General features: G+C 33.2%; 1 protein-coding gene across 1 annotated transcript in view; it reads right to left on the reverse strand.

The window, feature by feature from the left end:
- VEGFC (vascular endothelial growth factor C) overlaps positions 1-12,044 on the reverse strand; it is a 109,385-nt gene that overhangs the window by 39,824 nt on the left and 57,517 nt on the right. The window contains exons 2-3 of the mRNA NM_005429.5: positions 6,172-6,385; positions 4,417-4,607 (exon numbers count right to left, since the gene is read on the reverse strand). Of these exons, the coding sequence (NP_005420.1) occupies positions 4,417-4,607; positions 6,172-6,385 (405 nt within the window). The remainder of the gene's footprint in view (positions 1-4,416; positions 4,608-6,171; positions 6,386-12,044) is intronic.

The raw sequence follows: 12,044 nt of genomic DNA on the forward strand, positions 1-12,044 counted from the left end.
GGGGGTCCATGTGCAGGTTTGTTACATACGTAAACTTTTATTTTAGGTTTGGGGGTGCATGTGCAGGTTTGTGACATAGGTAAACTTTTATTTTAGGTTTGGGGTTTTATTTTAGGTTTGGGGGTCCATGTGCAGGTTTGTGGGTCCATGTGCAGGTTTGTGACATAGGTAAACTTTTATTTTAAGTTTGGGGTTTTATTTTAGGTTTGGGGGTCCATGTGCAGGTTTGTGACATAGGTAAACTTTTATTTTAGGTTTGGGGGTCCATGTGCAGATTTGTGACATAGGTAAACTTTTATTTTAGGTTTCGCGGTGCATATGCAGATTTGCGACACAGGTAAACTTTTATTTTAGGTTTGGGGGTGCATGTGCAGGTTTGTGACATAGGTAAACTTTTATTTTAGGTTTGGGGTTTTATTTTAGGTTTGGGGGTGCATGTGCAGGTTTGTGACATAAACTTTTATTTTAGGTTTGGGGTTTTATTTTAGGTTTGGGGGTCCATGTGCAGGTTTGTTACATAGGTAAACTTTTATTTTAGGTTTGGGGGTCCATGTGCAGGTTTGTTAAATAGGTAAACTTTTATTTTAGGTTTGGGGGTGCATGTGCAGGTTTGTGACATAGGTAAACTCATGTCATGGGGGTTGTTGCACAGATTATTTCATCACCCAGGAATTAAGCCCAGTACCCAATAGTTACCTTTTCTGTTCCTCTCCAGAAACAGATATTTTTTAAAAGATCAAGCTAAATTGATAGCATAAACGTTTGTTTAGCAAAAAGACCAATTATTTGAAAATTCCACAAGTGTGTTAATCAGCTATTTTATTATTAATAATCTTCAAGGCAGCAGTTTTAAAGCCTGGTTTAAAGGGAAAAGGCTAGGGGTCAGGGAACAAACTCCCTAAAACTGTGGGGGGAAATGCTGTGGATGTGTCTATATTTTCATTTGTTCTCATGAAAGGGTCCACAGTTTTTATGTGATACTAAAAGAGATTTGTGCACTGATTCTGTGGTAGGCACTGGGATAAGTAGTGAACGGATCTGTTTTTGCCTTTGTGGAGGAGGGAGACATTAATCAAGTAACAATGACTACATAACTATAAACTATGTGATTATAGGCTGTAATAAATACTATTTTAAAAATATGGGAAACTATAAAGCATTTACTACAAATATTGGGTCTAATCCAAATAGGTCAGAAAGTCTTGCCTGAGGCCTTGCCAAAGCCACTTGACACCCAAATTAAGATCTGAAGAGCTAGCACCTCAGGAAAGAGGAGACAGGAAGGCCAGGTTAACCTAAAGGTGTGTGTGCAAGGGCCCAGGAGCAGAGGAAACACGATGATGCCCAGGAATTGGAGAAAGTCTAGAGCACTGGAAGCACAAGATCAAGAATCATTACATTAGATGATGCTGAACAGGGGCTATGGGGCAGAGATTGCAGGTTGTGATAAAGATGTGGTCTTGAAAATCCTGCATGTTCTCATTTATGTGGGAGCTAAACGAGTGGATCTCATGGAAGTAGAGAGAAGAATACTGATTATCAGAGGCTGGGAGGGGCAAGGGTAGGGAGGATGGAGAGAGGATGGTTGAGGGGTACAAAAGCACAGTTAAATAGAAGGAGTAAGTTTTAGTGTTCAATAGTACATCAGGGAAATTGGAGTGAATAACGATATATTGTATATTTTTTAAAAAGCTGCAAGAGAAGTACTGTATTGTTCCCAATAGAAAGAAAAGATAAATGTTTGAGATGATGGATATCCCAATTACCCTGATTTGATCATTACACATTTTGTACAGGTATCAACATATAACACATGACCCCAAAATATGTACAGCTATGATATGTCAATAAATATAACCTTCAAAAAAGATTTTTGTCTTATTTTACAAGCAATGGGAAATCACTGAAAGGCCTTTATGCTGGAGACTGACATCAGCTCTGTGGGGTTTTTTTGTTTTTGAAACAGGGTCATGCTCTGTCACCTAGGCTGGGAGTGCAGTGGTGCAATCCTAGCACACTGCAGCCCTGAACTCCTGGGCTCCAGCGATCCTCCTGCCTCTGCCTCCTCAGCAGCTGAGACCACAGGCGTGAGCCACCATGCCTAGCCATAGATTTGGATCTATGTTTTTAAAAAATATGCTTGAAAGTAATTTATAGAAAAGATTATGAAGAAAGGAAATGGAAGGAGGAAGAGCAGAGAGAAGGTTATCTTATTAGTTGGAAACAGTATCCAAAGTACCTTGGTTTACTATTTGATTTAAATCAAATACCATATTAGGAATATAATCTAGAATACATCATATTGCTTAACTGAATTATTTTAAAATATAAATCATTAACGGCATTCCAAAAATTGTATATTTCAATTCCTAAATCATCCATATTTATTTTCTCTAACTTTAAAAGGAAATGACATATTTCTCAAGAGACTCAGTATACCAAAATTCCCATTAAGAGGTTTGGCTTGAAGATAAAAACAACATTTTAATTATTAATATGTTTTAAAAATGAATATTACCTTTCAAAGAATATCTGCTTGGCCTAAGTATTTCTATTTAATTTATTTTAAAGTATGCAGTTCTAAAATTTAGAGGATCTTAAAGAATCCTGTTTGATTTCAGGGTTATGATAAAATACATAATACCAATAAAACCTGTTAAAGTAGTATTAATTTATTTAGAATAGTAAGTACAAAACTATAACGTCTTATTGTTTATTGTTGTTTGATAAAGACTCAGGGAGGATAAATGAACTAAGGATAACTTTTGCTATGTCCAATAGTATAATTATATGTTAGTCTATCAAAAATATTATAATTTTGGCAACCACTGAAATATTGTCATGTTCCTACAACTGTACATTTTTCTGGTAAAGTTTCTAAATGCAGGACTATGTTTAGAGTCACATTGTATTCCTTGAGAACACATGTTGGAACGACCCCTACATTATTTTGCTGTGCTTTTAGGAAATAATCAGAATGAATTGCATCTGGCTAAGCTTAACTAACTATGATACTAAAAGAAATGATAGCAGGCCCCAAAGCATCACCTTTTAATTTTTTTTAACCTTTAGAGTTGAGGCAGAGGCAAGCTGAATAGAAAATTTAGCTTTATAATTTATTTTTTGTTTCTTCTTGCAAGTCTTAATCTAAAATGGCTTGTTTCTTTATCAAGTGGGTGAGCAATATAAAGAAACTCAATTTTTGAAAAGAAAGCAATTAATTTGGGTTGTATAATAAGACAATGTCTCCAAACTCAGAGGCCAAATGATCGTAACAGTAAAAATTTTGGAAATATTCAGCTAGCTGAAAAAATGTAGTTCATGGAATTGAGATAGTAATCTTAACTCTGATTTCTATTAATACTATATTGAAATAAGAGTAGGTTTTATTACTGAAAACCATGTAGATCAGCTAAAGTTTGCATAAAATTAAAATGTGAATTTTCTGTCATACCACATCATACAAATCAAATCTAACACCACATCTTTCAATTTCATTTTTCATTCTCCAGGTCAAAGAACAGTTCTGAATTTAGCCAGATTTACGTGTGTGAGTCTAACTCCAAAAATAGCTTAGAAAGGTCATTAGGACAACCACAGTTTTGTCTTTCGGGAGAAGTTTGCTTCAGTCCAGCCCACGGGACTGGATTTCTCCAAACATTTCTGTTCAGAGGCCAGAGGTGCACACAATTTCAAACAACACTTTCATGGTTATCGCCAGCACATACGCGTGTTCCACAGCCAGCCTCCTCTACCACGTAAGGCCCACAAAGCGGGTTTATGTGTCTGGTCTGAAAATCCCTGATCCAAAGCCAACCTTAAGAGACATTTCCTGGTTATCAGAAGCTTACCATTTAATGAGATAAACTTCCCAGTTTATTCAAAACATCTGAGATTTAGTGTCAGAGTTATTTCCTTTGCTTTCGACAGGAAGACAATAAATTTCTTCAGTGAGATGGCTTATTTCAATACTATACCACTGTTTCACAGAACACACGCATTTAATTTTACACTTTGAATACTGTTTGCACTGTTATCTCCACCATCTGAAAACTCACCCATTTAAAAGTATTTTATTGCCAAATGAACATGTTTATTCTTGAAGATCAACACACACACATACACACGTACATGTACACACATACATACGTATATTTATTGTTTTCTGCATGAGGCTTTGACTCCACTATATGAAGAGTTTGCAAAGTAATAAAGCATCAATTACTTTCTTTGTGACACTGTGTTGTCAAACACACAAAACACTGAAAAACTGACTTCATTCCCCTAAAGAAAATATGAGACCCTGAGTTGAACCAAGTTAGTTTAAAGCAACCAGAAGTTTAAACACATCATCCCCAAAGTTAAAGCTTCTGATTAAGGGGGCTCTCGCAGGTAGCAGGAATGGGCAATACCCACCGTCTTGCTGAGGTAGCTCGTGCTGGTGTTCATGCACTGCAGCCCCTCACTATTGCAGCAACCCCCACATCTGTAGACGGACACACATGGAGGTTTAAAGAAGGTGTTTGTCGCGACTCCAAACTCCTTCCCCACATCTATACACACCTCCCGTGGCATGCATTGAGTCTTTCTCCACTCATTATCAATACCTGTCAAGTCATAGGGAAATCAGTAAGTTTTACGGAAACCACCAAGATAAAAAAAGCCCACAGCAGCTGCAAATCACTCACATTCATTTCAGATTTTAACATTTAAGTTCAATATATAACTAAAGAGACAGCTGATGGGATCCTAAATTGACTTGTGAATGAGAATGATATAACATTGAAAAGACAAGCTAAGGATATTTCTTAAACTCATTTCTATAGCTAGGCAATAAGAAAAATTAGCATTATGCTTTATTAAAAGTACACCAATATCCCACAACACTAATGTTTGGTTTTTCTTTCTTAGGAAAATGGTAATTTAATATATGAATGTTTATAAGATGTGCAGAGAGAGTCATGTTCATTCTCTATAGTATGGGCCATTTTTGTGCTCTCAATGCAAATATAAATATAATTTTATTTTTCTTTAAAACTGAGTTGCATATGAGAAGACAGCTATGGTTTTAGATTCAAGTCAAACGTCCTTTTCAGGCGGACTATTTGGCAACCTTGAGTAATGTCGTGGCTGCAGCTACATAAAATACAAGGCTATTTTTCACCAACTGGGACTCATTCTGAACTTTCTTCAGCAAAGTCAATATTTCCTATCCCTTTTAACTCTCCTCTGGAATTTTGTTTCTGATGAGTTAGTAGCTTACCTATAATACTGTTGACTTTTTAAATTCTGCATTACAAATAATGTACTTCCTAAGTATACTAGTTTACTTATCCCATATTTCCCCTAAAATAGAATTTTTGGAAAAGGACATAAACTATTGGTTATACAACCATGAAGCCATTTTGTTTGCCTCTGTTCTCAAAATACTTTCCAATATCAAACTTTTATAGCGATTAAGAGCTACCAACTGAAGGCAAATATGTTTTTAAATTACTCCACCACTTTTTAATTTTTTTTAATAGAGATGAGGTCTTGCTGTGTTGTTCAGGCTGGTCTCTGACTCTGGCTTCAAGCAATCCTCCCACTTTGGCCTCCCAATGGTCTCGGATTACAGACATGAACCTCTGTGCCCAGTCATACCCCACCAATTGATGCTATGACATTTTATGCAACATGATCATTTTTTGTGAAGCTTTATGCTAGATACCTCATCAGCTTAAGTCCCGCTCTGAGCCAGTTATCTGTGAAGCAGCAAAGCAACAAGTGACATCTGAAAAGGTGATTTCAAATGAAGCATTTCTCAATCCAAATCAGATAGGAAATTAAGGTATAATTATTTGATAAGATAAAGAATGTTTAAGTTATTAAACAGATATAGTATGTAAAATATAGCCATCTGTTTTAAAAATTTTCCAATGGCTATCACCTGAAAAAATAAATGTGTGTTGTTTATGCATGGACCTATCTATCCTGTATTTTATGAAGTCATCTTAATACTCAAAGTGAAATCATAAAATGTTGTATTTTGAAGTAATTCTTTATTTTCTATTTGCTTTCCGCCCTAAAGGTGTATTCGGTGATACAAACACTGAAATTAAAGAACCAGGCTGGCAACTTCTACTGGTTTGATATATAAGGCTTACTATACATTTTATTTCCCATACTTACTTTTCAAGATCTCTGTATTATAATGTGCTGCAGCAAATTTTATAGTCTCTTCTGTCCTTGAGTTGAGGTTGGCCTGTTCTCTGTTATGTTGCCAGCCTCCTTTCCTTAGCTGACACTTGTACATTTTCCAATATTCTGGGTAGAGTACAGTCATGAGTTCATCTACACTGGACACAGACCGTAACTGCTCCTCCAGATCTTTGCTTGCATAAGCCTGTCAAAGAAAAATGCAAGATCAATGACTTACCAGCTTAAGGGATTTAGAAACAAATGCACTATAAAACGGTTAGGTTTAATAGTATCTATGCTCCGTTCCCTAACACAAATATTATTAATTACTCCTAAATTACTTCACTTTCCTTGGTAAAATTATATTTGTATTTTAATTTGTATGAACCAAAACAATTAAAAATACATATTTTGTTGTTAGGAAAAAAATTTTGTGATATAATTTTAAAATAATTTTAAGGTAGCTTATTTATTTTATTCATAGCTCTTTCAAATAATTGGTCAATTTGTATGTTTGAAAATTTATTCATTTGTATCACTCTACTAAACAGATAAAATTACACTGAAATCCACCCTAATGCTTTGCTTTATTTTTAGTTACCAGCAACAATACAATATGCTTAAGCAGGATGCTTGAGAGTAGGAATTTTACTTTCATGGGAGCTATTTTAGAACAAATAATCATATGAAGAAAGGAATTTCAACAACATTGTCACAGTAAGATTTATATTTTGGCAGAATCTCTCAATATTTAAAAGAAAATTTTATCATCAAGATTAATACCACCTTCATAGAAATGAAATAGTTCAGAGAACACTAAATCTTATTGACGGCTAACTGCATACATAAGTATACTCATTTAAGTAGAACATTCCAAATTATATTTTAGTAGTTACCATATCTAAGAAATAAATACAATTTTTTTCTAATTATGCTTTAGAATTAGGAAAAAGGAAACTTGTATAGCTTTATCTATCTGCCAAGTAAAATACAACATCAATTGTTTATTTTATATTGTCATGATTATCCCAGCTTTTAAATATAAATATGTAAGTAAATACTTTGGACACTGGTTCTCAAAGTTTAGTCGAATAAGAGTCAATGAACTAACTGTCAGAAATGCAGGTAACTGTCCCCCACCTCTCCATGGTTTCTTGGGTGGATCAAGAACCTACATTTTAACAGATTATAGTTTTCCTGTCTAATTTTTGAGCACAAAATGAACATATTTGCCTTAAAATTGAAATCTTATTTAATCTGAAAAGTATTTTTCACTTCTATTTTTAATAATCGAAGTTATTCTATGTAAGTGATTTTTGTACCATATATTGAGAAACATAATCTAATCTCATTTTTTAATTTCATTATAACAGAGCCTCCTAAAAATAAAAGTCAATTATTAATATGAAATGTGTTGTTCCCTATTAGATAATGAAGTTGGCTGTGAATGTTGAGTTTACCCTTTCACTACCATTTATGGTATGATTTGAGTATATCACTTAATCTCTGTAGGTCTATGTTAGAAAAATATTTATATTATTCCATTACTTTCTGAAGTATATGGGATGATTCCTGATACACCATACAGCCATAGAAAATCTACTGAATATGGGAAGGGTGGAGGTGGAGAGGAGATCTTAGTTTAAATGAAAGTTACAAAACATCCTCTCACAGTTTCCCAATTAGATGTTTATAAAATATTTGCCAAAAAAACTCACTTATGACACAACATTCAAAACTCAAAAGTGTTTCAGAATCTCAAAAGGTTACTACTGAAGGGAAAATTTATAAAAGTGATTATAAAAATAACAATATGTGAGGTGATGGATATGTTAACATGATTATGATAATCATTTCACAATGTACATGTACAGCAAAACATCGCATCACATACCTTAAATATATACCATTTTTATTTGTCAGTCACACCTCAATAATGTTGGAAAAAAAACAGTGTACAGGTGTATTTGTGGTCACTGTTACCTGCAGTAAAATGTGACAGATCAGTTTTTGTTTGTCTCTGCTTGTTGAATAGCCCTAGAAGAAAAGGAGCAATAGGGACCTGTGTGTGATTGGAAGGTTCCTGGAACTCTCCACTACAAGTCAGCTGTGATTCAAGACAGGTTGTGACCTAAACTGATCACATCTATTTCCAGAACAGGTCTGCATGTTCAGCCTAGCAAGAGGAGCTGCAATACAACATCCTTACACAATATAATAAAAGATATTCACCGAACTGTTAAGAAAGGGATGATGGTAGACAGAGACTTTCAATTAAGTATTATTTGAAGTTTTAAGACAGACAAATTAGTACCGTAAAACTTCGAAATGAGAAATAACTATAACAATATTTATATTTATTAAAAAAACACTGTTCCTCAATAGATCAGCTGGAGAAAAACATAAGCATAACATTCACAATAGAGAAAATGCAATATTAAAAAATGAAAAAAGTAGAAAAGCTATTATATTTATACTCTTAGGCTGAAAAAGGCCTTTTTAAAGTGAATATAAAATAAAATGAAAATTTTTGTATGGCAGAAAACACTGCAAACAAATTAAAAGACAATAAAGTACGAAATTATTTGCAATATACATAATGGATAAAAATGGACTAATATTCTTAAAACACTGCATGAATACTGGTGCTTCAATAGAAAGATGGACAAAGAAGGTGAACTGAATATTAACGAAGAAGAAATATAAATAATACATATTGTATGATGGCAAAAGTGAAAGAAACTATAATTCTTTTCAATCCTTTTCAATCTATATCTAAGAGACCCCCAGACTAAAGTTCAAGTTCATTCTTTTAACAAATTAGCACCTGAAGTTTTCTTGCATTTGTAGCAATTAGCACCTAATTTGTTAAAAGAATGAACTTGAATTTTAATCTGGGGGTCTCTTAGGTACAGATTGGTTTGAGGAACCTGAGTAGAAAGATATCACTAAAAATGGACCAAACTAGAGGTTTTCAGGGGAGCCAGATAATATCAATGAGAAGATGCATGACTCATTAGTTTTTGAGAAAAGAGGATTTCAAACCCAATTTCTCCTTCAGTGGAATCCGTGAAAGTGGATGGAAAGGCCTGAATAAATAATGTAAACATTGCTTAGCTATTCAGAAGATAACATATGGAGAGAAGAAAGAAAACACATTCATTGAAAAAAAAAAACTCTTCAGAGAGCTTTTTTTTCAGAAGAAAATATTTGTGATCATAGATGAAGCAAAGTTTTCTTACACTTAATACCAATAGCAATTTACATAATTTTTAAAGTGACAAATTATATTTCCAGAAAATCGAAATATTCTGCTTTCCATAAAACACACAAATGATAAACAGTGAGAAAACATTTACAAAGCACATAACTGGTAAAGACTTGTATCTGAAATATAATCAAAAACACAAACATGGACAAATGATTTGATCAAACTCACCAAAGAAGATAAGCAGTTTACAAACCAACAAAAAGAAGTAATATAATGCATTAAATTAGAGAAATGCTTATTAAAACCTTAATAAGACACCACTCCACACCCATTAGAGTGGATAAAATTAAAAATACAACCCTAAGTGCTCACAAGGACGTGCAGCAACTGGAACTCTCACATGTTGCTGTTGAAAATGTAAATCTGTACAGCCACTTTGCAAAAACAGTTGGGCAGTTTCTCACAAAGTTAAACATATACTTACTAAAATTTCAGTCCTGTATAGTATCTGTTTAGGTGAAACAAAAACTTATGTTCACATAAAAATTTGTATGCAATATGTTTATGGAGGGTTTACTCATAATAATGAAAACTGAAAACACCCAAATGTTCTTTAGCTGGGCAAATGGATAAAATGTGATTGTACATTCATGTAATGGAATATCCAACAATGAAAAGAAGACTACTACTGATATCTGCCACAATAGGAACAAATCTCAAATGCATTAAAACAAGTAAAGCAAGCCAGATTCAAAATGCTACATGATGTGTGATTCCTTTATATAACATTCTTTAATAGGCAAATCTACAGGGGGAGTAACAGAAGTCATTGTAAAAGGCTAGAGGCGGAGAATGAGTATGACCACAAAGTGTCACCAGGGAATATGTTTGGGAAGGGGAGAAGTGATGTATCTTGACTGTGGGGATGGTGGTTATACAACTCTAGTTGTCAAAACTCGCTATAAACAGTAAATTTCTCCATATGTAATTTCACCCTTATTAAAAAGAATAGATCCTAAATCTAAATTTTAAATACACATAAACTGAGAGCTAAATAGAATTTAAAATTTCATCTAAAAACTTAAACCCAAAGAAACTAAAAGGTAAATTTAAAGGGGAGACACAACCCTAATGCTCTTGATTTCTCAGCAATCTAAAGAACTTTAAAAAAATAATTTTGCTTTCATTCTAGAAATAAATTGCTTGGTACAAACAGGATTTTATGAAATTTCTTTTTTGTTGTTTTCAGATGGTAAGACCTTATCTTCTGAGACCTCTGAGTTGACAGCAATATTAAATTATGTTGAAGATCTTGACAAAACTAGTAATCTGTGGTCTTATTTGTGTTTTGCTTCTAGTCACCAGCTAGGTAACTTTGAATAAGTTACTAAAATTCTCTGGGTCTCAGTTTCTCCATTTATAAGACAGTGAGTATAATAACTGTAAAAACTTCTATTGCTTTATGTTTTTATACATAAACATACAATAAGTATGGCCAAGTACAATAAATAAAAGATTAAATAAGAAAGTCACCAAGTTACTTCTAGTTTAGGTGAAATCCACATGGTGTTTGGTTATATTATTATCTGTAATTTTGGCAAATAGTTTATAATTTGAAGCATATTTAGCAGTTACTGTAATAAATAAATTAGTTATTAAAAACCAAGAATTTAGCACTGAGTTTGTTCCACTACAAGTGCTCAGCAAACAGACTACACTATCACATTTTTATGTTAGAAAACCTATCTTTAGACTAAGAAATATACGCGAGAATTTCTAAAACAAATAACGTTCACCTTTTGAAACTAAAAATAACCCCTTTTGTGGACAATCAATGTCAAATGTGAAGTCATTATGAACTAAGTGCAAAAACTGAGTGAAAGGAATTTGCAGACTTTAAGAAACTGCTAAAAATAGCAAAAACTAAGTGGCAGAAGGAATTTACATTTCTTTAGGAAACCTAAAGGAATGTAAAAGTATTTGAAAAGAAAATGTTTAGAATGAACATGTGCGTTTATTATACATTCATATCCAAAATTGAGGGTTTCAGTTATAAAATGGCTGTGGGAAAACAATCAACAGACTTCTAAGCATGTAATTTTATAATAATATTTTTTAAAATTTAAACTGATAATTTTATGCCTTTGTATGAAAGCAGAAATTAAATAAATGTAATTTAAAAGCATTCAGCCATTTTTTTTTTCTTTTTACCTTCAATGACTGGCAAAGCAAATGTTTCTGATTTTGCCAAAAATGCTATCTATAGATGATGAAGAGGCCAGTTATTGCTTTGAAAAAAGGGTCTATTTCAAGCCACCTCTGTCATGGAATTTTGCTGTTTTCAATCTGTTTCATCTCCTCTGGGAACTCCTTCCTACATCACTTTCTAACTGTAAAATAAATGATCCAAATACAATTTTTAAATCCCCATGTTCTATTATAATTTCTGAAAACCAGTCTTTCAGGTATAAATGGAAATCTGTCTTCTGTTCATTATATGACTTTAGATATTTTTAAAATATTGTTCTTTATCCAGCACTTATAGCCTGTAATTTAAGACTACTTTGCTTATCATTATTTCATCAGGGTAATGTTAGTGATTGTGTATTTTTATTTTAACAATTTAAATTTCCACTGTTTGGATGTAAAATGA

This window comes from Homo sapiens, chromosome 4 (genome assembly GCF_000001405.40).
Source record: "Homo sapiens chromosome 4, GRCh38.p14 Primary Assembly".
Classification (NCBI taxonomy): Eukaryota; Metazoa; Chordata; class Mammalia; order Primates; family Hominidae; genus Homo; species Homo sapiens.